We start from the raw sequence: 24,759 nt of genomic DNA on the forward strand, positions 1-24,759 counted from the left end.
TTGTTCCCTCAAGGACCTGAAGTGACATGGGGAGGCAGGACTAGCCTTGGGGCTCCTAATTCTGTCCTGGCCTGTATTCCAGTGTGCCGTGGGGCACGTCCAATTTGAATCTGGCCCCAGTACACTCTCAAGCCCTGTGTTGCTCTGGTCCCACAGCTTCTGCCCTTGACTTTCCATATAACAGCACATTGGTGGCCAGGGCTTTGCACTAACCTACCTGCCTCCAACATTGTTTTTGAATAATGGAAGCTAAGCAGATGCATATTAATGCCTGCATTATGGAGAAGACTGTCTCTTCACAAGTAATCTGTAGTTGTTAGTCTTGAAAGTGGGTTAATTCATTGTCTTTCTAGAGAAAATGATTGCATGGCCTAATAGTCTTCCAGTTAGTCTGTGTGGCAAGGTAGAAGCCAGGAGTGGATTCTTAGCTCCTGTTGAGTGCTGCTGTCCTGAATCAGAGATCTTCTCTCCCGGGCCACTTTGTCATGAGCAGGATTTTGAACCAAGACCTTTTCTTCACCTGTCTCGGGGGCCCTCACCGTGGGCTTTGTGATCCCCTGACAGCTCCAAAAGCCTTTATCCTCATCCAATATCTGGTGAACAGCTGACACCTCCTGGGAATCTTTAAAATTGTTCTCTAAAGAAACCATTCTGCTGCAAGTACCTATTTTTAGACTTTATAAAGCCCACGTCAGGTTGTCGCTGCCTTTCTCTCTGTCTGCTAAGCCTGCTGTTTGAAAGGCAGCAACAGGATCTTTTGTCTTTAAAAGTTCAGCCCCAGCTGGTGCATTCCCCACTTGAACTCCATAGCCCTGGTGTGCTCTGGGGTACGTCTCTTCCAAAACCCAAACCACAGGCAGTGACCTTTACACCCCAGGAGTTGAAATAATACACCTGGAGGAAGAAAATAACTTACAAACAATGAGCCTAGAGTATAAATGGCTATGTTTTAAAACCCTCGATTTTCCTTGGGCGTATTTAACCTGTACAGCTAGACTGTTGTGAGTTTTGGGCTCTCTAGGGGGCTGTCCAAGTTCAGAACAAGTGCATCTGCTGGCAGCCAGCTTAAGGAGTTAGCAGCCCTCAATTCCAATAACGAACGTGTAAATCAGAATTCAGGTGTGTTGAAGTGGGGCCTTGCACACATCCTGGTCAGCCCAGGGTGATTTCCTCTCTGGCCAGTGGTTTTGGCTTTTTTCTTCACATGAACTCGTCTGTTGTAACTAATGGTCACTGAGTGACTTCAGAGGTAGTGATAGCTCATAGTGAAGCCCGTGACCCACAGCGGTGGGCACACCTCGATCCCTTCTCCTTTTCCTCCATCCCCACCTTTCTCTCCTTACTTCATCCCTTCCTCTTTCCACATTGGGTCATCCAGCAGAAGTCAAGTATCTTCTATTTCATATCTTTATTGAATAAGAGTTTTACGATCCATGTTATTGAAGTAGGTAAATGGAATCTCTTATGTGGAATTCTCTAAAAAAGAATCAAAACTCCAGTCAAACCAAACCAAGTATTCCAAATCGTTTTTAGGGAAAAAAGATATAATTAGAAAAGACTGGAGAGGGTATGCAAACTATTAACATTATGTTAGGGTGGTAGGAGTATAAGTTATATTTGCTTTTTCTGAATTTCTAAATTTTCTTCAATTAACATATTGTTCAAAGTATCAAATACATAGAAGGAAGAGTGTGCATGCCTGTTATCTAGCAAACACACTTCATGCAAAGAAACTCTCCTAAGGAAGTATGAAGTTATATTTTATCCTTATCTATCCAAAGAGAGTGTGTGTGTGTCATATACCTAAAGAATTAGTTATTAAGATGAAGCATTGCTTATAATGAAAAAGTTGAAGCACCCTAAATTAGCTTAATAATGGTATATCTTTATAATGGAATAGTATAAAGCCATTAGAAATGATGTTACAGATAAGTATTTAATGTTATGGAAACATTTTATAACATAGAATGAAAAGTAAATTGTAGATTGGTTTGTATAATTTGATCTCATCTTAGGAAACACATAATACAGAAATATAGATGAAGGTCTGAAGGGTATTAATGCCCTAATGTATTAGTAGCATTACCTCAGAGAAGCAGGCTCATGAGTGTTTATTTTCTTTTCTTCTAACTAAGTATGTATATGTGTAAGTGTGTCTGTATACAGGAGATGTACATACACTTTTCTTGTGAAGAATCTGTATTGCATTTACTACTGGAAGGGTTTATTTTAGATTTAGATATTAAAGTTACCTCTTTGAGTGAGAACCTATGATTTATACTTCTTAGCTTACCTTTTACCTCCATTATTTAAATCTGTCTTTTTCTGCCATCAAATAGAAGATGTAACAGTGATAAAAAGGCTGGGTATGGTGGCTTACACCTAAAATCCCAGCACTTTAGGAGGCCAGGGGTTCGAGACCATCCTGAACATAGCGAGTGACGTAGTGAGACCCCATACCTACAGATTTTTAAAAGGTTAGCCAGACGTGGTGGTGTGTGCCTGTAGCCCCAGCTACTCAGGAAGCTGAGGTGGGAGGATTGCTTGAGCCCAGGAGGTCAAGGCTGCAGTGAGTCATGAATACACCACTGCCCTTCATTCAGCCTGGGTGGCAGAGTGAGACTCTGTCTCTAAAAGTATAATATTTTAAGAAAGAAAAAACAAAAACTAGTGATAAAAAGAACTTACAACAAACTGATTTTTAAGTGGACTGTTGATAATTATAAGGGCTGAGATTTTTAATTGCCATTTGTATCAATGAATAACCCCCCTGTCACCACATTTTCTGGTGTGTTTGGTGTGTCTGGTTCCTATAGGAGAGACAGTAATGCTATTTGACATGCTTTATTGCTGATTAGAAGCCTAATCTCTGTAATGGGAAGCTCAGTAATGAAGCTTGTTCAGAATTGTGTTACAGTCGGTTAATGAAGCTCTGAGATCAAGGGCCTGGCTTTTGATGGCCCCTATTTCAGAATCCAGAGGTTTGTTTCTATTTATTTGGGTTTTGCAGGTAAGTTCCCTGGACTGAGGTGATCTGAAGGTTAGCTCTGCTATAATAGGTAAATTGCTAAGAAAAACATTGGCCTTGGTATGTACAACTTAAAATTTTATTGGTGAGATAGTCTTCTTACAAAACAATCACGTTAAGCTAGAACTTGGTGTATAACCAGCATATATACTCCTGCCACCCTCAGTGTGTAGCCAAAGTTCTAAATTGCATGCACAGATAACAGGCATATAATTGGTGATTTCAGAAAAGTTATACCTGGTGGGCAGTGAGAGGCGAGCCCTGATCTGGGAAACCCCAGTGCTTCAAGGGGAAGCAATCTGGGAAACTCCAATGCTGGGATTGGGATTCAATCTGGGAAACCCCATTGCTGACAAGGTACATGGTACAAGCTTGATAAAAACTTGCTTAATGTCACACTTGTAATCCCAACACTTTGGGAGGCTGAGGCAGCTGGATTACTTGAGTTCAGGAGTTTGAGACCAGTCTGGGTAACACGGTGAAACTCCATCTCTACAAAAAATACAAAAATTAGCCTGGTGTGGTGGCATGCACCTGTAGTCCCAGCTGCTCGGGAGGCTGAGGTGGGAGAATAGCTTGAATACAAGAGTTGGAGGTTGCAGTGAGCTGAGATTGCACCATTGCACTCCAGCCTGAGCTACAGAAAATAATAATAATTTAAAAAAACTTAATGATGATAGCATTTGAGTTGGCTTTTCAATCCTGGTTTCCTAAATATGTGAGCCTGGACCATTAAACTGTGTGACAAGGAGCTGTCATCTTAACATACAGACATTAAATGCATTGTTCAAGATCAGAAATGATTTCTTGGTTCTGAGGCACTATTGACTGTGTGTAAGGTGCCATCGTTAATTTGGTAACAAGGGGAGACAGTGGCAGGGAAGTTCCTTTTGCCTGTCTTGTGATAGGCTTCCTATTTTCTCAAAGGTTAAGATATTAAATTGTCTTAAGCAAAGAAGGTATTTAAGGGCATCATCAGGGTTAGTTCTCAGGTCTCCTGACTCCTAGCTTCTCTAGTTTAGTGATTCACGTTAGCCTTTCAACAGTTTACCACTCACTTTAATGGTTTTTCCTAGCTGTCTTGACATGCTTTTCACTGCTTACATGGTTAGTTTCCTACCTAGCTGAATGCAGGCATCTGTGCTGTCTGCTGGGTTCGCTGGTGGTGATGCAGCCCACAGGTACCTGTCTCTTTGAGGGGAGTTCAGCAACCATCTATTTATGTCGAAAGGCACTGTACTGGGAGATGAAGAACACGGAGTTCTAGGCCTCCAGGAATTTATCATCACTTGCTAATTTGAGCTGAGCCTGGCACTTGAACATAGGCCATAGATTTCCAGATGTGAAAAAAAGAAAGAAAGAAAGAAAAGGATCCTTTAATGTATAGACTTGTCTTTCTGCCTGCTTTCTTCACTTCTGATCATTTTAAACAATTGATATCCTAGTTTGATGTGATCATGTTCCAACACAGCACAACAGCATGTATGGTTTGGGGCATGCACCTGTGGCAGTTGCAAAGGTTTTTACAGTGAAGTGGCTAAGAGGAGAGTAAGACCAGTGTATAGGGTGTGGATGAGGTCAGATGCGAGACTATTTCTTGATTTGAGTCATTTTATTTAGGAGCTATTTCTTTGGAATACTTTATATATGAGAATGTACATCTGATTGGAAGACAGAAGGTACTGAAATTTACCTCTTGATCAAATTATTCTGGTATAAAATTAAACTAAATACCAATCATATACTTAATTTCACAGACTTGCAAATAATATACTGGGGTAATGGAAGTAAGAGACAGGACCTTTTATGTGGTATGAAGTTCTGTGATAATTCCTATCTTCCTTTGTACCTAAAAGAGGCACCCTCTCCTGTCATACTGCAAACAGATGCCACTACTACGTGTAGACACATTTGCCAGCTGTGGCACAGCTGGTCACCCAGCCCTCATCACAGCTGCCTGTAAAACCCAGATTTATTCTCTTCCCCCTGATCTTTTTTAGAAATTACTGGTATCGTTTTAGAGAGTATCCAACTTACACACACCACTTAAATAATGAATTTTCCAATTTCTTCTTTTTCCACGGCCTTCACGTCATCTGGTAAATATTCCCCTCAGGTTGGCATCTGCTTCTGAGACCCTGCTGGACCTAGATATATTCACCAGAGATGGGTGAAGGCTTTGGAAGAGTGAAGTGGTTAGGAACATTTCTTCCGATATCTCCTGCTCATTGTTTTTGACCTCTCTGATTTCCAGTATATTCTCTGCTCCAGCCACACAGCTTTCCTGAACAGCTAAGTCTTGCTCACCGGTCAGGGACCAGCTCAAAGGCTGTCCCTTTTTAAATTTATTTCCTGGGTCTTCTCCTGGCCTCTTCCCTGCACTCGGTGGAGATGCCTGCCCCATGGTTTTCAGTAGCGTTGGCTCTTAGCTGTTCCGTTCTGGGGAAGGATTGGTTGTTTTCCTTTTCTCCATGTGTGTTGTGAATTTCATTCTGTGTCACCGCATCACGCGAGGTGGGTAGGGAAGAGAACTTTTACGCTCCCCGCTGTCGTTAGTGGCCTGATTACGAGTCTGTGGGAAAGAATGAAGGTTGGAAAGAAGATCTGGTGGGAAAGAACAAGGGTTGTCCTTGAGCAGCCAAACTAAGCTGTGAGAATGTTAATGTAATAAAGCAGGAATTCTAATGGGCTGCCTGCTACAGAGGAGATGGGAGATGGTGTAGGGCTCATGACTGTAAAAGCAGGAGCCACCAGCAGATGGTGATGCGGCCTCTTGGCCCAGGTGGGACTCTGCATCTCCCCCTCCCATGGACATTCACTTGATAAGTGTTGGGCCGGTCACCCATGCCCTGGTCGTTCTTATCTTATCGAAGAGTGCTAATATAAGTAAGCTGTAAATTCCCATTGTAAGAAATAATTGCCTTTTAAAAGGGAGCATTCAAGAAAAAGACCTTTTGGCTCAATAAAGCCTTTATTTTCCTCAACACTCTTGGCTCTTAAAAGGGGCCTGTTCTTGGCCTTGAAGTGGGAATTTACACAGAACTTTAAACAGAAGAAACCCCCTCTGCCTTGGGCTGCAACTTGTTGTCCCTGGCAGGGTTTGGGCTGTGGGGTCATGGGATCTGTTTGTTTGACCGTTGTATGCAAAAATGATTTTAAAATTGGCCTCCCTAATCTGTTGGAGACATTAGTTAAAAAAAAAATGAGAGTAAAGAGGAAAATATTTTGCTATTGGGTATGCACTGGATCCATTTTTAAACTGAGAGAAGGTGAAAGGGGTGACTGGTTGATTTCGGATAATACTTTTAGAGCCACGGGGAACTGTGAAAGACAAGAAAATGTAAAAAAAGCACATTGATTGCAGGACCGGTGGTCCAAAAGCAGCACGTGAAAGAGGTTTCAAGGCTGTTTCTACAAACAAGAATGCCAAAGGTGGCATAGGACAAGAAGCTTGCTGGATGTCACGAAGCTAGTGGAGATGGGATCCAAAGCTAGTTTTGGCTGATGAAAATACAGGCTCATGCCCTGTATGTGAGGACAGTGGGACAGTAATTTAAACAGAAGTATCTAGAGGAGTTTCCTTATTGCCTTGAATGTATTTCTTTTTAACATTGCTATGGACATTTAGGAAAAGATGCCACTGATATTCCAAAAGGGGCATTCCATACACCTGAGAGGGATCCCTGAGGCTCCAGGGTCACCTGGGCCAAGCCAGGTATACACACGTCTCATGGCAAGTTGGCTGTTATCATAACTTCCCTGGTGTTGTTTTGTTGCAAGGGCAGCATTGTGGGGCTGTGGTTTGAATTGCTTTTTTGTGTCTCTTGAATACACGAAGTTCCTCCTATAGTCATTGGCTCTGCTGCCTCTGATGAGGCACTTCCGTGTTCCCCACATTTGAATTTGCTCCCGATTCGAGAGAGGCAGGCATCCGCGGCAGCAGCTTCCAACCCAGACAGGCTTAAGCCGCGCGAGGGTGCCCGGGTGGGTGGCTGCGCAGGGCCCTACCTGGGCGGGAGCGGCTGCAGAGCCCTGTCCACGCGGTGCCTCCCCAGCACGGCACCTCCCACTCCAGGCTGTTGGTTACCTGGCCGGGAGCTGGCGGAGACCAGGATTTCTCCTCGCCGCCGTTGCTGTTGTTAGGGGAAACAGACCATCTGCATCTAGACCTGCCTCTCTCTCCGCTCCCCACTTCAGACGAGCTCTTCCTGCCTGGAATCTGGTAAGTGCCACCGAAGGTTCCGTTCCCTTTATTACTCGATTAGTGCCCACAGCATCAGGAGAAGGTTCTCTTACCGTGAATCCATTAGCTTTAACCCAAATGTGCAGGATTAGGGGGATTATTTGAACTTGCTTGCTTTCTTTTTAAAATGTCCATTAGACATTTTTTGCATGCTTCAAAATCAAAAGGCGGCACAGTGAAAACATTTTAATTATTTATGTATTTAACCTGTATCATCTTGTTTCTAACCTCTTTTCTTCAGGGTGGTGCAGTCAAAAATTACACAGATATTGCTCTGGTGCCTCTCCCCCCTTTTATGAATAAATTACTGCATTTGTCATCACTGTGTTCCTGAAATGTCAAAAATAGACACTGTAAAGGAATCTGTCATGCAGAGTTCAGAAATTTTCAAATTTCTGAGTTCAAAACCTCAGGTGAAGCGAGGACAGATCTTTTATTTAAAATTTGATTCTTTGTAGGCTTCACTGTGAAATAAGTTCAATTTAGAGCATAGCTAATGCAATCAGCCAGCTCGTGATGGGACAACATACTTCTCTATTGTTTTACATTCACCTCCTGGGATACACACACTTTCTCATTTGTTTTATAACCTTTACAGGAAATACCTGGGGATGAGTCACATGACCCCTAACTTGAGTTTTTACATGTATTCACCCAGATTAAATGATTTTGCTCTTATATGGATAAACGTGCAGTTAGGAACTTTAAAAAATTGTAAATGAGGTGCATAATCATTACTCATTGTCTTTTACTGCATTCTTCAGCCCTCAAACATACAAACTGTTATTCCCTTTAAGAGAAAATAAAACTGGCACTTATGTTTTCCTTTACTCTAAGTTAAAGACTACCCATGTTATGTGCCATTAAAAAAGATGTAGAAATTAATCTGTCTTTTTCTTTGACCTAATCTTACTAGCAGGGATATTGGGGCTCTACTTTTCTGTTCTCTCTCTCTCTTTTTTTTTTTTTTTTTTTTTTTTTTTAACATCAGCCACAGGTAATACTCTCCGGTAAACATATAACTTGAGGAAAATTGAATTAGGTTAATGCTGGAATAGAAAACCAGGGCAGTGCCTGCTCTTTTTGGATAATTCTGTATAAACAATGAGAAAGTCTCAGGCTGCCTTAGACAAAGGCTGAGACGGGAGCTCCTGATGATTTTTATGAGGGGGAAGAGGAGATGGTGAGGAGGAGGGCACCGAGCATGTGCAGCAACTTGAAGCATGTCAGAAAGAACATTTGCCAGAAATCTTCAAAACCGTGGCGGTCGGTAATGTGTGAAATTGAACTTCTGACCCTGTTTGCTTGATGGCGACTTCTCGTTGTGCTTGAGAATTGTGTGGCATTGGGTCCCTGGATGTGGGAGGAACAGCAAAGTGGTTTAGTGAATAGAGAGGGAAGTGCCTTCCTTTTTGGGTGGGACTTGCCATGATAGAGCCTGGGCCGTCACCTTAAAAGGAGATGTTTCTGTTGAGAGATGGAAAATTGGCAAGACAAACGCCATAAACCTTAACCTGTTTATAATTCCTTACCTGTAAGCTGCTTTGCACGCAAGGTGATGGTTCTACCTCATAAGGGACAAGGAAGAACAGCACATAAACCTGACTGAATGGAGTGTGGCTGTGGGTGGGAGCAGCTTTACAAGAAGGAAACGGGGCCCCCTCCTGAGACACCCCCGTTTGCTTCTGCTCCTTCCTTGCCATTGACGTGCCCTTCTCCTGAAACTACCCACACCTGTGTTTGGCAACAAGCGGCTGCCCCTTGATCCAGATGCATTTTTCAACTTGCGAACTCTCACCTCTTGCCAAGGGACCCAAGTACCTGGTTAATGATCTTTAATGTAAATGATCCTTTGCCTTGATTAACATTGAGCTGGGTTAGTATGCACAGGCCGAGCTCCGTGGTCCTCCCATGTGATCCCTTCCCTGCCAGCCACCTGCCCACCTGTAGGAACTGGGCATGGCCAGTTTTCTCTTTATGTGCTCTCTTTGCCTTGGATGGAATTTGGGCTGAGACCGATGAGGTGGAACCAAAGCTGTTCAGCAGAAGAGAGCAACCACAGAGCAGCCTGTTGGGTGGAGGGCTTGAGGGTTCCTAAAATCCGAGGACTTTCTGGTGAGCCTCTCCCCTGAGCCTGCTTGAGGGAAGGCGCTGCCCCACACACTCTCCAGTGGGTGGGGGTGGGGGTGGCAGCGGCTGATCAAAGGTTCTCACCTGCAAGTGATAATAGCCTGGGTCTCTTTGGCACCAACCTGCCTTCTTCACCTTTCTGCTCAGACACCCCTTGGCACCCCTACATAAAGGAAAGAGCTGTCTGGATGGCCTAGTAACTGTAGGATAGGTAAAGTTAGCCCTTTCTTCTGACCTAGATATGTGATGGTGGTATTTCTACATGTTTATGTCGAGAACTTTACAAAGATGAAAGAAAAGCTTTCAGAGCTGCAGAAATGAGAGGTGGCCCTTTTTTAAAATTTATTTTAAGAAACAACTTTTAAAACCACTTTTTGAAAAATTGGATGGCACCGTCCTGCAGCCTATCAGATTTCCCTTGAGAACTGGGGATTATTGGCTTATTCCTTGCTACCTCCAATCCCAAATTAAGCAGAGTGACATGTAAGAAGCTGGGGACATCAGCCTAAAGCGTTTATCAGGTATGTCCTTCCCAACTGGATCTTTTCTACTCCCTGGCCCGAATTTTGTTTTAGGGAATGGGGCCTATTTTAATTGCTGGTGGCAAAAGGATCCCTGGGCAGTGTTTCCATGGTCCTCTAAGGTGGAGTGTCGGGGAGCTGGGGGACACACAGTGGTCATGGGTTATCTGTCTTGGCCTCTTTCCCAGACCAAGTTCTGTCTCATGCTTATTGGTTTGGCTGCTAGTTATAGAATCTGATGTTTACCTTAGAATCCTAGGATGGAAAGGGTTAAGAATGATTTCTAATTTGAATTCCTTGTTTCTAGGGAGTTATTAAACCTATACATTACATTTATTATTTTACAAAGCACTAATTCATAATAGTTGACAGGAACAACTATTTTTTGGCTTCTTTGTTTTTTTGTTTGTTTGTTTGAGATGGAGTTTCACTCTGTCACCCAGGTCTGGAGTGCAGTGGCGCAATCTCCGCTCACAGCAACCTCTACCTCCCAGGTTCAAGCAATTCTCCTGCCTCAGCCTCCCAAGTAGCTGGGATTACAGGTGCTAGCTAATGTTTGTATTTTTAGTAGAGACGGGGTTTTGCCATGTTGGCCAGGCTGGTCTCGAACTCCTGACCTCAGGTGATCCGCCTGCCTCGGTCTCCCAAAGTGCTGGGATTACAGGCATGAGCCACCACGTCCGGCCTTCTTTGGTTTTCATATTGATTATATTTTCTAAGACAAATACTCATTTATATAGTCTAATAAAAATTGTTAAATCTAATTAAACAACTAATAAAAATAGTTGTTTAATCCACGTTGACATCTTCTTACATTGCGATAGAAATTTTGATATATTTATCCATATGATGAATTGCTTAAAGCCGGTGGTTCTCAACCAGTGGCAGTTTTGCCTTCTCTCCCACAAGGGACATTTGACACTATCTGGGGACATTTTTCATTGTCATATTCAAGGGAGTGGGGTGTGAAGCTGGCAAGCATCTAGTGTGTAGAGGCCTGGGTGCTGCTCCACTTTCTACATTGCACAGGATGGCACCTGACACACAGCCTAAAGCGTCGGTACTGGTTGACCGTATACGAAATGCTGTGGAAGACCAGGCACGGTGGCTCACGCTTGTAATCCCGGCACTTTAGGAGGCTGGGGCATGAGGATTGCTTGAGCCCAGCAGTTTGAGACCATGTTTAAGTTTAAGTTCATTTAAGTTCTCTGAAGTGGTGATTCTGATGCTATATAGATGAAGGTTGGTTTGTTGAAGAGCTGACTCTGGTATTTCATCCAACATCTGCATTTTTCTTTAGCTAAGGATGCCTTGAGAAACATTCTAGTCTCTTAGGCCTGAATTTGTTATTAGCTTAATAGCTTTCCTCTGGTTGAATTTAAATGGAAAGAAAATTGCATCTTGCAACAGGAAAAAGAACATTAGGGAAAAACTGAGGAAATGGAAATAAAGTGTGGAATTTTGTTAATAATAAATCAACCTTGATGCATTAATTGTGAGACATGTCCTGAACCAATGTAGATCTTAATAATAGGGGAAACTGGCTTCAGGGTACGTGGGGACTCTATCTTATCTTTATAATAATTCTCTAAGTCTGAAACAAAAAAGTTTATTAAAAAAGCACAAACAAAATTGCTGCCATTTTGTTAACAGATATAGTAGTCAATCTTACTGTTTTCTTTTTCTTTGAAATAGGCTGCTGCAAAGGTATGTTCTTTGTTATCTCGGCTCTCTGCTCAGGGTAGCCATGAAATGGCTCTTTTAAAAATGTGCCCAGATAATTTTGAACCATTTCAAACCATATTATGTGATTTTAATTTATTTTCCATTGCATTCACTAACTCATTTCTGGGTGATGTATTTAAAAGACTAGACAGAATTTACAGGTTTAAAAAGTTACATTAACAGAAAATGTAGGTGCCAGTTGAAATACTGTCAACTGGAAGTGCTACCAGCAATGTGCTAGCTGGACAATGGGACTTGTCCCATTTTTTTGCTGGGTGACAGCTATCACTGCCTCAGGGAGGCTGGTGCCATTTAATGCCTCTGATAATCAGAATAAGTAATTGTGGCTTCTGGGTCTGTAAAGCCACAAAATACATATGCAGGCCTATTTTAATTGACGGTAAGTCATGAAATACACTATTTTCGTATTAAGATAACGTGGATATGTTATGGAACAAAGTTAAAAATTAGCATGAATTTTTAAAGTACTACTGGAGATTGTTGGCTTTAGGTTCGTGAACCCCATTCCTGCCCCCACACTCCTGTTAGTGGGGCTACCAGAGGGGCCAGTATGAAAAGCACTGGACTTACAGATGAAAGAACTTGAGCTGGAATCAATTCGAGTCACTTACCTTCGCTACAGGTGGGCAGAGGAGTCATCCTGCAATTTTGTTGTGAAAACAGAATGAGATAATATAAAATGTATTTGAATACAGTGAGGTCTGTACAGATGCTGAATCTATTACTTTGCAGTAGGAGTCAGGTGTGGCCCCACTTCCCCACCTTCTTACCTACTTGTATCTTAGATCTTATATATATTGATATTCACTTTTGGTGGACTAAGGTTGTCTTTGTTGCAAACCTGGACTCTCTTGTATTCTTGCTCAGTGTGTGTATGTTAATGTTAGATAAAGAAGATTAGGCTGGTGCATTGGCTCACGCCTGTAATCCCAGCACTTTGGGAGGCCAAGGCGGGCAGATCACTTGAGGTCAGGAGTTCGAGGCCACCCTGGCCAACGTGGTGAAACCCCATCTCTACTAAAAATACAAAAATTAGCCAGGCATGGTGGTGCCTGCCTGTAATCCCAGCTACTTGGGAAGCTGAGGCAGGAGAATTGCTTGAACCCAGGAAGCAGAGGTTGCAGTGAGCCGAGATCACGCCACTGTACTCCAGCTTGGGTGACAGAGTGTGATCCTGTCTCAAAAAAAAAAAGCAGAAGATTATTTGGAAAGCTATTTTTAAATTATTCTTCAAACATATACTAAAATAGAGAAGACAACATGAGAGCCAACAGCATAATGAAACCCCATCACTCAGCCTCAACCGTTGTTAACAGTTTACTATCTTTATTGCTACTGAAGGCAGTTAAATATTTCTTGGCAGTCCTTTTTTATTTAGCATATACCATCAGGGATGACAATAGAAACAGGTTTCAAAGTCAGGTGAAATAATGTTTCTCTATATGAGTTCACCACTAACTTGATACACAGTTTATGTTTATGTTTATGTTCTTATTACGTTCGTGTATTAAGGCAACCTTTCATCCCTGCCCCCTAATAGGTAACTGTCTTTATTTGTTCTGGGATTATCCCTCCTCCATTGCCCTTTTTGGAAAGAGTATGGATATATTTGTATTTTCTCTTACTCATAAAGCAGCACATGGTACATACTGTTCTGAGCCCTGGTTTTCTTTTTTTCACTTAGCGTTGTATACTGGAACTCACTCAATGTCAGTATACAGAGAATTCCCTTGTCTTTTTATAACTCTGTGCTATACGCTGACGGAAGTTCATTCAGTCAGTCCCCTATTGATGGACACTTGAGTTATTCTCAGACTTGTCCATTGTTTTGCAAAAATAGCCCTGGGCATATGTCATTTGGTATTTTTGTCGAGGCATTCCAATAAAAATAAGTAAATTCTTCCTCTCTTGCCTTGAAGATGTGCAGCTCCTCAGTAACCTTTTATTCTCTAAAGCTCTGTCCTCATCTTTAATCCCTGATTTAAGAGGTGCAGCTCTTCAGGCCATAAACCTTTCTTCCTGCCTCAAGTTTTTAAAGCTACAAAGGAACCTAAGAGATCCCTTGTGTTTTACAGCTAAAGGACCTGAGAGCAGGAAACAAAGGGAGAGCCGGAAGCCCAGGTCTCCTGTTCCCTGCCTGGCAGGTGATATTCTTTCTGTTAAACTCTCTTTCCCTCTGCCTATTATTGGCCAGGCTGTCCTCCAGGACAGTGCTTGCCAAAGTGTGGTCCATGGGCAGCAGCATCCCCGGAGCTCATCAGCAATGTAAGATGTCAGGCCCTGCCCCAGAGGGGCTGAGATAGAATCTACCAATTACTGGATTCCCTGGGTGACTCATGCAGTCAGGTTGGAGAAGCGCTGGACTGGTGGCTTTCTCCAGAGGAGCATGCAACAGCGGTTTGCAAACAGGGATGATGCAGTTCCTTTTCAACACGTGGATTTGCACTTCCTCCTGGTGCGCTCCTCCAGCCTGCCTGTCCTGTTCACACCAGCCTCCCCCTGGAAGGGGTTCAGACTTGATCCTTTGGGTGGTAGGGTCTTTCTTGGATAGCGTAGCCATCCATTCCTGCTGCATACATTCAACACAGCCTTCATCCTTCGCCATTTGTCTCTGATACTTCATACTCCTTTTGTTTGACAAGTGCCCTAGCTTTATTTATTTTCTCATCATTGTTGTTAAGGGCCTATTGTGCTTGCTAGTATACACACCACTATGTAAGTTACTAGTTCAATTTATTTGTTTTACTGCTGCTGTGAGGTGTGTCCATGTGTGCACATCTACCTGTGTTAATAACTGATAATATTGGGCCTCAGTACATACTTTTTTTTTTTAAGAGACAAGGTTTTACTTCGTCACCCAGGCTGAAGGACTGAGACACACTTGTAGCTCACTGCAGCCTTGAGCTCCTGGACCCAAGTGATCCTCCCACCTTAACCTCCTGAGTAGCTGGGACTACAGGCACACACCACCACACCAACTAATTTTTTTATTTTTTGTAGAGACGGATTCTTACTGTGTTGCCCAGGCTGGTCTAGAACTCCTGGCTTCAAGCCATCCTACCACCTCAGCCTTCCAAAGTGCTGGGATGATAGGTGTAAGCCGCCGCACCTGGCCCTCAGTGCATACTTAGATATACTTAAATAAAAACTTAATTGCAAATTACTTCTTAAATTATCCACAAACTGACTTGGCAGTAAAAGTGACTACAAGTAGTGAAACCACTGTCATAATAAAAATAAAATAAAAGTCTTTATTGTTAGATTTAGTATTTCTAATCTCTTACATTTCAGTTTTGGAAGGTAAATTTTTGGGAAGTGGTGGTAATAATCTAAGTATGTCTAGATTCAGTGATGAGAGCTAGTACACTGTAGGAAAGAGTTGAGCATAACAATATGGAATGTTGGTAAATGTATAGGGGTTTTCTTTTTAAAGACAGCTTTTTATACAAAGAAACAGATGATCTTTTTTTTTTTTTCTAAACTATGTTAGCTATACCCAAATTAGTAAATGTTAAAATAACCATGACTGGTAAAAACATTTTGCAATTTTTTTTTTTTTTACTTTTTATATAATTAAATGAAATTCTCCATTTGGTAGTTGATCTCTCAGACAAATTAAGTCTTGCCAGACTGTCTGAGAAGACTAGTGAATCAGACCCTAAAAACTTGTAGCATTTGAAAAATAACAACTGTGTACTGCAATTTATAAGGGCATAATTAGAGAAAGTTTTTCAGTCTGAAGATTTATACTAATCTTATCACCCTGGTTTTAGAGAACCCAGTTCAATCCAACTGCTGTGAAAAAGCCACTGCTTTTAGCCACAGAAAATAACCAGTTTCATAGAATGACTTATAATAAAAAATTCAACCATTTTGACTCCAAAAACCTAGCTGGCCGGGCGTGGTGGCTGACGCCTGTAATCCCAGCACTTTGTGAGGCCAAGGCGGGCAGATCATTTGTGGCCAGGAGTTTGAGACCTGCCTGGCCAACATGGTGAGACCCCCGTCTCTACTAAAAGTACAAAAATTACCCAGACGTGGTGGTGTGCACCTGTAATCCCAGTTACTCGGGAGGCTGAAGCAGGAGAATTGCTTGAACCTGGGAAGCGGAGGTTGCAGTCAGCCAAGATTGCACCACTGCACTACAGCCTGGGCAACAGAGTGAGACTCCTTCTCAAAAAAAAAAATGCCTAGCTGACTTTATCATAGATCTGTCTGTACCTTGTAGGCACAAATATATTTACAAAATAATTAATGGTGATTTACTTATTCACAATAAGCAGTTATTTTGCTTTTGGTGTATATGTGACAAGGTGGTTATGTGGAGTACATAAAGGAGTAAAGTAAGTCCGTTGACTTCAAGATGCTTACAGTCTAATAGAAACCTTGAAATTTCCACTGGGCAAGGTTTTCTTGGGATTGCTCCAACCAAATGAATGAGCAGGCGTCTAAGTAAATGAAAATCACTCTCATCACTTTCCTTCACATTATGTTAACTGGTGACAGGTCATGACGCATGGGAATTGCTTATGTTTCTGAGCTTTAGTCTTATAAAAATAAGTTTAGATAGTCCATCATGTTCTTCACATTAGACACTCATTACATAAAAGGTTTTATATGTATTGTAGATCTTTCTGAAGGTCATCTATGTGAATGTTTAAAAAAGAAGCAAGAAGGTGCTATAAAAAGCACTAGAGGTCAAATGGTTTGCGAGACAAAATGAAACTCTCCAGCTCTGAAATCCAACAGAGTATGATGAAGAAAGGGAAAAAATAGATCAAAAAATGGCAGGGGAGGAACTCGGCATCAAACCAGTGATAAAGCAGAATGTGGATCAGATCCAGACATCCAGTAGTCTGTGAGCATCTCCATATGGGATGTTTGGGTTGAGAGTTCAACCCATCAAATACATTTTATCCATAACCATAAGATATTCTAAGATCGACCAAGTAGAGTAAGCAATGTAGAATCAAAGGTATCATCTTTATTATGTCCTATTTGTGTTTCCTGCTTTTGAGGTTCTTAGTCCTTTTAATTAACTCCTAATGAACTAATATAGTTTTGTGGTCACCAGCTTCTAGCTAGCACAGGCACAGTTGTGGGTTGGTAGGAGAATGAGCAGTAAAGCCATGAGCTAACACACCAAGTAATCTGTTGTGTTCACAAATGTCCAAGAGAATAACAAGAGATTAAAGAAAGGTAAATACAGCCACCTGGCAAAAATATTTACCCTTTTAAAAATGATGGAAGTTATATATAGAAGAAATGTTTTTGGTAAAAATATTTGAAAGTTTGTTTTATAATCATAAGTAGCTTGGGCTATTTTGACTAGAGGGGTGTGTGTGTATGTGTGTGTGTGTGTGTGTGTGGTTGGCAGGGAGAGAAGGAGGGAGGCAGGCAGCTGGTAGGGACTGTGGAGTGTGTCAGTTGGGAGAGGGAAATGAGATGATTAAGTTAGTAAGAATAGAAAACATGTAGGAAGGCGGATCTTGAAATTTCAGGGCTATTCATTAGTCATTAGTTGAAGATTTCACAGAGAAATGGTAGAAACCACCAGTAATTAAGAAATAGCATTATTGTTTAAAAAAAAAAAAACTCCCAAACCCTTTCCCTGGCATTCTGGTAGAATATAGTTTTGGTCTAACCCAGGTCCCCTCTCATTTCCTTTCACATCCCCTTGGTTCTAGCCACGCTAGACTGTCTGGGTTGTCTGTATATGTTCTGATGTTTGTTTTCCTCTGTGCTGTTCTTCTGGCCTCAGAATCCTAGTGTCCTTGTGCCTCCTTCTGCATATGTCTGGACTTTGCTTAGCTGATGAGATCCAGTTCAGATACCACCTTCTGTACAATGGCTTCCTTAATTCCTTTAATTTCTCTTAATTGCAATAAAGCTATTTGCAGAGGAATGAAAGATGCTCCCCTTTGCGCTGGGTACAGGATGCACTGAAACTTTCAGCATGGGGCGCGGTGGCTCATCCCTGTAATCCCAGCACTTTGGGAGGCCGAGGCAGGCGGATCACCTGAGGTCAGGAGTTCGGGACCAGCCTGACCAACGTGGCGAAACCCTGTCTCTACTAAAAATACAAAAATTAGCCAGGCATGGTGGTATATGCCTATAATTCCAGCTACTTGGGAGGCTGAGGAAGGAGAATCTATTGAACCCAGGAGACAGAGGTTGCAGTGAGCTGAGATCGCACCACTGCACTCCAGCCTGGGTGACATAGCGAGACTCCATCTCAAAACAACAACAACAGCAACAACAACAAAAACCCAAACTTTCAGCAGGAGAGTAGCTTGGTTCAGCCCAGCAACATCGGTTTGAAGATTATATCAAGTTTTCCAGTCAAATGTAACCAGTTTATGGATCTGTGTTTGCACGGGGTCTGAACCTCCCCTCCTCAGGTATAAGCTCTTGGAGGACAGCCTGCTGCTTAAGGTACAGGAGAATTCATCTTTGCTGGACATGGTAACGTATGCATAGAGATCTGGCAACAGAACTTAAGATATGTGGGAGAAATAATAGGCAAAAACTGGAAAGAGCACAAGTAAGAGAAGAGAAATCCGCAGAAGTGAGAAGTAACAGAATTGCTGGCTGAGGTTGGAGGCATTTAAGTGTGTGGGTGTTTGTGGGAGGCATGGTGGTCTCCTGTTCCTTGACCTCATTGGGCAAATATTACAGCACGAACATACAGGTAGGAATCAATTGCATCCCCACCTGGGCACCTTCATCGGCAGTTGGGGTACACCACTTGCTACAGTGTGATGGAATAAGGGACGATCCAAAGGCACTCAGTTCTCCCACCCATCCTGTGCACAAGGAAAAGACCTTTGAATTGTGTCTCCCCTGTTGTCCTTTGCATTGTGAAAGTGCATATTAGTTCTCCCATCCACTCTTTTCTCTTTAAGCTTTAGCATACGGTTGTTTGCCAAGAATGGAATCAGATAGAATATTTTCACCAGGAAGTGAAATTTAAAGTGCTTGAAAAAGATACAAGGATATCTGGAAGTTCCAGCCGGCGCCATTTTATATTTTAACCATGACAAGTAGCTGTATATCACGGAACTTTGGAAAACAGAGATTGTTCCATTTATTTTTCACAGATGAAAACCAGAGTGCTGTGTGGGGATCAGGAAGAGGGAAATCAACCAAATACCTTATTTTAGAGATTTTTTTTTTTTTCTGGGAAATTGGAAACAGCGCTTGTTTATAGCCAATGCAGCGTCCTTGAAACTCTCCTACTTACAGTTCTGGAGCTGTAGTTTCCTCCCTGAAGAATGGGTTAAGGCAGGCAGGGTAATATGCATAGATGGGAGTGAGAGTGGATGGCCTACAGGGTTGTTAACCTCTAAGTGCAACAGGAATATATGAAGGTACTTGGGCTGGTGGTCCTGTGCAGAACCAGCCAGTAGGTTCTAAGAGACTTGATAGCCGAGGGTCCCTGGGCCCTGTTCCACCTTTTTAAAATTTCTATGACTTAGTAGCGGCAGTACCATGCCCATCCCCCAGTGATGTTTGGGGTACAGCTGCACCCTTGGCCGTGCCTCTGCACTCACTCACGAGTGTCATCTGACATCTGGCTCTTGACCAGGATCTGAGGTTGCTTAAGCAGGATCCAGGTCAGGTTTTTTGTTCATGGAAGGTGGAATTTTGGACCTTTCCCCCAAAAAGTTGACATAACTTAAAGAGAAGGGAGGTATATTGAGACCAGCCTGGCCAACATGGTGAAACCCTGCCTCTACTAAAAATACAAAAATAGCTGGCATGGTGGTGAGTACCTGTGTAGTCCCACCTGCTCAGGAGGCTGAGGCAGAGAATCAGGGGGCGGAGGTTGCAGTGAGCCAAGGTCATGCCACTGCACTCCAGCCTGAGTGACAGAGTGAGACTCTGTCTCAACAACAACAACAACAACAACAAAGAGCAGAGTGGTATTATTTCCTCACTGGAACATTAAATGGTTCCTACTACCAAAGAGTTCCTGTTCTAATGGGGGTTTAATATAATAGTAACATTTTATTCACTGGGATTCACTCGGGGGAAAGTATTCAGGAACAAAGTGACAAAATTAAATATAGGACATATGAACATTGTCATTTTGGTTCTAGTTCTTACAAGGGCTTATGGTAGCAACCCAAATAGAAGTATTTGCTCTAACTAACAGATAAATTATTAGCACTTCAGTTGTTTACATATGAGTCAGAGCATCTAAAATTTGTTCCCATAAGTAGGTTGAGCCTCCTTCTCAGCCTGTTGTCATAGGGTCTAAAAATGGAAACGTGAGTCCAAACTCTTTCCAGATCATAAAAATAATTCTGAATTAGTAGAGCATAAATGAATGTGATTTTATTCGAGTGTCATTTTCAAGTTCCCCAGGCCAGGTTGAGACCTTTTAAGTCATCCTTAATTCCCTGTAGGGAGGATTAAGAAAATAGTAGCAGCTTTGCTTCTGGCCTTAGACAGTTTTCTAATGAGGTCAGAGCCTCTCACCCTGGGAGAAGCAGATTCACTTTGCCCCTTCAGCATTGGTTTTTGAGAATTGCTGTCTGAAGCTATTGCATAGACAAGGTCACTTTTTAAAAGGGTACATTTCTGAACCTGGAGAAGGAGTGGGTTCTGAATGACTGGCTCTTCTGATTAACAGAGCTGTATATCAAGCTGTGCTGAAAATACTCCTCAGATATATTAGGCCACATTTATGCATGAGTGAGCTCACTGTCGTGACATGGGAGTGAACCTTTGCTGATTCGAGATCCTGGGGTGCCTTCACTTTGGAACACTGATTCTAGATATTTAATAGCAGTTTTAAAATTAGGCTAAATGTAGTCTGACTGCAGGATTCATTCCAGTGGGAATTTTTTTGTTTGTTGGTTAGTTTTTTAAGCCTGAATATGAACCCAAACATGTTTCCCAAAATGTGAAATGAAGAGTGAAAACCTAACAATGGGATAAGAAAGATAATAGATAAGAGATTATAGTTCAAACTCGGCCTGCACTCAGGAAATGGAAGCAATTCCTCCCCCTCATCCTGCCCCCCTCCTCTTCCTCCACCTCCTCCTCCTCCCTTACCTCCTCCTCCACTACTTCCTCCTCCTCCACTACTTCCTCCTCCCCCTTCATCCTCCACCTCCACCTCCTCTTCCACCTCCTCCTCCCCCTCCTCCTCCCCCCCTCCCCCTCCTCCTCCTCTCCCTCCTCCTGCCCCCTCCTCCTCCTCCTCCACCTCCTACTGCCCCCCTCCTCTTCCACCTCCTCCTCCTCCACCTCCCCCTCCTTTACCTCCTCCTTCTCTTTCTGCACACCCCACCCCCGCCCCCACTAGGGACAGTTTACTCTTCCCCCTCCTTTCTTAGAATGCCAACAACTAGCCTGTTAGTTCCATTACTTACTTGCCTTGTGACTCATAACGTTTTCATCTTGGGTATTTTTCTTTCTTGGTCTTTGTAAAAATTCTAAGCATCATAGAGCATATCACCTGGAGAAAAGACCTACGTTCATTATTTAATGAAGGTAAAAAGTAAAGAATTGAGTCTGCATCCTAAGAAATTAGAAAAAGATCAACTAAGTAAACAAAAAAATATAAAAACTAGGAGGGAGGAATTAGGAGATGATAAGATTTAAAAGTTATGTAAATCCAATAGCTGGTTATTTGAAATGACCAATAAAGTAAACTCTCATTATCCTAACTCAGGAACAGAAAGAAATCATCCTAACTTAGAACTAGATAATAGGAATGAGAGGCCGGGCATGATGGCTCACACCTGTAATTCTAGCACTTTGGGAGGCCAAGGCGGGCGGATCACCTGAGGTCGGGAGTTTGAGACTAGCCTGACCAACATGGAGAAACCCATCCATACTAAAAAAATACAAATTTGGCCGGGCATGGTGGCTTATGCCTGTAATCTCAGCTACTCAGGAGGTGAGGCAGGAGAATTGCCCAAACCTGGGAGGCAGAGGTTGCGGTGAGCCAAGAGCACTCCATTGCACTCCAGCCTGGGCAAGAAAAGCGACACTTCGTCTCAACATCAACAACAACAAAAAAGAAAGAAATAGATAATAGGAATGAGAAAGGAGACACAGGAGATATCAATAGACTTTATAAGAAAACATTACATGCAGCCCTGTGGCAACACATTTGAAAATATAGGGCTGACTTCTTAGGAAAATACAAATTACCAAAGTTGATCCAAGAAGCATGGAAAAGTTGAATAGACCAATTACTATAGAAGAGATAGGAAAGATGATTAAAAGTTACCATTGAGAAAGGCACCAGGAATCCATGGATTTCCAGCTGAGGTTTTGTTTGTTTGTTTGTTTTTGGAGATGGAGTTTCGCTCTTGTTGCCCAGGCTGGAGTGCAACGGTGCGATCTCGGCTCACTGCAACCTCCGCCTCCCAGGTTCAGGTGCTTCTCCTGCCTCAGCCTCCCAAGTAGCTGGGATTACAGGCATGTGCCATCATGCCCGGCTAATTTTGTATTTTTAGTAGAGACGGGGTTTCTCCATGTTGGTCACACTGGCTTGAAAAAATAGAAAATTTGAGTGTTATTTTTACTCTTCCAGGACATACTAAAACATGGAAAGGTTCCCAGTTCATTTTATAAAACCATCAAAATTTTAATTTAAAAATCTGATGAATTAAAAAAATAAAAATAAAGATCAATATTATTTATGAAAGTAAATGTAGAAATTTAAAATAATTTATTAACAAATAGACTCTTGGGTGCATCAAAACACGAATGCACTATAATCAATAGTTATTTTCCAGTAACACCAGGGTGATTAACTGTTAGAAACTCATCACTATCATCAGTTGTTACACAATCATATTGAAGGAGAGGAATATATGAATAAGTCAGTAGAGGCTAGAAACCTATCTGAAAAAGTTTAGTAGCCATTCCTAATATAGTACAATCTGAGAAAGCGAACTAGGAATAAAAATAAATTACTTAAACATAAAGGCCATATATGTGTACACAAACACACACACACCACAGCAAATATTTCCTAAAAGACAAAACACTAAAGCCATTCAATTAAAATTAGGAATGAGAGAAGAATCTTACATTTTACAATTAGTATTTAATATTATCTTAGAGGTTCTTGTGAGTGGAGTAAGACAATGAAATGGTCATATGTCTAGAAATCGCAAGAGCATCTAGTAAAAAATCTAAAATCAACAGAAACAATTGTCAAGGAAGCTGGATAAAAGATAGGTCTCTAGAAATTATCTTTTCTGTGTTTTGAAGATAAGCACCTAGAAATGGAAGTTAAGTATTTCTTTCACAATAGCAGCAGATAACCTAGGAAGACATTGAACTAATACCTGTAACCTTCTTAGTGAAGAATGTGAAATATAATCTAGAGAAATTAAAACATGTAATGCCTGAATGTATCTTATTACAAAATTAATAAGTAAATTTCTTGTGATTCCGGTTAGAATTTCCAAAGTGGTGGGTTTTCTCTTTAATTGAATAAAATAATCCTGAAGTCTTTATAGAAGAATAAATACGTACTACCTGAGAGGAGCCAAGACAAATATGGAAAAGAAAACCGGTGAGGGCAGATTTGGCTTACAAGTAATGACAACATGCTAAGAATAAGAAGTCTTCGTGATCAAAGCAATGTGGTATTGATCCAGAATTACATAAATAGTTCAGTGGAACAGACTAGAGAATCTAGGACTGTGTCTCATTAAGAGAGTGAATGTATAACAAGATGATAGTTCAGTACTGTTGAGGTTGGTACTGGCATAACCAGTTCTTTATCTGGAGAGGGGGTTGGGGGAACAGCACAGACCTCTATCTAATATCATAATCAGTAATAAGTCCCGGAATCTTCAAACACTTAAATGTAAACAAGCAATTCAACTTTTACAAGAAAATATAAGAACCTATTTTGTATAATCTTGGAGTGAGGGAGAATGGTTAAGCAAAATTTGATACGCACAAGCTATAAAAAGAGACACACTTTGAACATATATTTTATTTTTATTTGTTTATTTTTTGAGACGGTCTCACTCTGTCAGGCTGGAGTGCAGTGGCGCGATCAGGGCTCACTGCAGCCTTGACCTCCCAGACTCAGGTGATTCTCCCACCTCAGCCTCCCATGTAGCTGAGACTACAGGCAAGACTCACTGTATTAGTTCTCATACTGCTAATAAAGACATACCTGAGACGGGGCAATTTAGAAAGGAAAGAGGTTTCACAGTTTCACATGGCTGGGGAGGACTCACGATCACGGGTGAAGGTGAATGAGGAGCAAAGTCCCATCTTACATGGTGGCAGGCAACAGAGTGTATGCAGGGGAACTCCCCTTTATAACCATCAGATCACATGAGATGTAATTCACTATCATGAGAACGGCATGGGAAAAACCTGCATCTGTGATTCAGTTACCTCCCACCGGGTCCCTCCCGTGACACGTGGGGATTATTACAGTTCAAGGTGAGATTTGCATGGGGACACAGAGCTAAACCATATCAGCTACCATGCCTAGCCAATTTTTTGTGGAGACGAGGTTTCACCATATTGCTCAGGCTGGTCTAGAACTCCTGTTCTCAAGTGATCTGCCCACCTCAGCCTCCCAAAGTGCTGGGATTAACAGGCATGATCCACCATACCTAGCCTGAATATATATTTTTAAACTTTTCTGTGGCAAAAGATACGTGATTAAGTCATAGATCAAGAAGGGATATTTGAAACAGACATGGGGTTACTATCTATAACAAAAAACTTACAAATTGTTAAGAAAACCACAGAGGAAAAATGGACAAAGAATGTTAATATAGAATACACAGATAACAAATGCAGACAGCTAGCTGGCAAACCTATGAAAAATAGTTCATTTTTGCTAGGGAAATGCAGATTAAACAATGAGACGTTACTTTAAACCCATCAGATTGGTAAAAATAGAGAAAAATAACACTTTTTGATAGCAAGGCTGTAATAGAAGTGGCAAGTGGTATTATTTCTCATAATACTGATGGAAATGTGAATTATGGGCAGTTGGGAAATTGAAAAGCAGATGGGCAATGTATATTAAAATAAAAAACTATCATACCTTTCTTCTAAGCAACCTTTGTCCTCGGTTATTTGTC

The 24,759-nt window shown here is 41.8% G+C and overlaps 1 protein-coding gene and 1 long non-coding RNA gene across 43 annotated transcripts in view, besides 3 other annotated features; one reads left to right on the forward strand and one right to left on the reverse strand.

The window, feature by feature from the left end:
- NEDD4L (NEDD4 like E3 ubiquitin protein ligase) overlaps positions 1-24,759 on the forward strand; it is a 357,315-nt gene that overhangs the window by 144,258 nt on the left and 188,298 nt on the right. For 4 of the 41 annotated variants that reach the window (XM_006722430.5, XM_017025679.3, XM_017025681.3 and 1 more), the window contains exon 1: positions 6,922-7,250. The exons of 35 other annotated variants lie outside the window; for them this stretch is intronic. The gene's annotated coding sequence lies outside the window, so the exon portion shown is untranslated. Of the gene's footprint in view, positions 1-6,921; positions 7,251-8,255; positions 9,387-24,759 lie in introns of those variants that run through there. 2 more of the 41 variants (XM_047437415.1, XM_047437416.1) reach the window with 1 other exon arrangement.
- Positions 1,351-7,227, reverse strand: LOC105372143 (uncharacterized). 2 transcript variants are annotated; one of them, NR_188085.1, is made up of 3 exons: positions 7,116-7,227; positions 5,336-5,600; positions 1,351-1,476 (listed from the first exon to the last, which is right to left on the reverse strand). It is a non-coding gene; the product is annotated as an uncharacterized LOC105372143 (long non-coding RNA). The 2 variants fall into 2 exon arrangements; NR_188086.1 differs by having other exon boundaries at positions 7,037-7,227.
- Positions 6,528-7,050: an enhancer, noted in NCBI's record as "H3K4me1 hESC enhancer chr18:55862243-55862765 (GRCh37/hg19 assembly coordinates)". NCBI's record gives its function as "activates a minimal SCP1, AML or CMV promoter by ChIP-STARR-seq in primed H9 embryonic stem cells {active_cell/tissue: H9 hESC(primed)}" and the evidence as "EXISTENCE:reporter gene assay evidence [ECO:0000049][PMID:30033119]".
- Positions 7,051-7,572: an enhancer, noted in NCBI's record as "H3K4me1 hESC enhancer chr18:55862766-55863287 (GRCh37/hg19 assembly coordinates)". NCBI's record gives its function as "activates a minimal SCP1, AML or CMV promoter by ChIP-STARR-seq in primed H9 embryonic stem cells {active_cell/tissue: H9 hESC(primed)}" and the evidence as "EXISTENCE:reporter gene assay evidence [ECO:0000049][PMID:30033119]".
- Positions 23,950-23,999: an enhancer, noted in NCBI's record as "active region_13384". NCBI's record gives its function as "activates an Ori minimal core promoter by ATAC-STARR-seq in GM12878 lymphoblastoid cells {active_cell/tissue: GM12878}" and the evidence as "EXISTENCE:reporter gene assay evidence [ECO:0000049][PMID:35858748]".

This window comes from Homo sapiens, chromosome 18 (assembly GCF_000001405.40).
Source record: "Homo sapiens chromosome 18, GRCh38.p14 Primary Assembly".
In the NCBI taxonomy this organism is placed as follows: domain Eukaryota; kingdom Metazoa; phylum Chordata; class Mammalia; order Primates; family Hominidae; genus Homo; species Homo sapiens.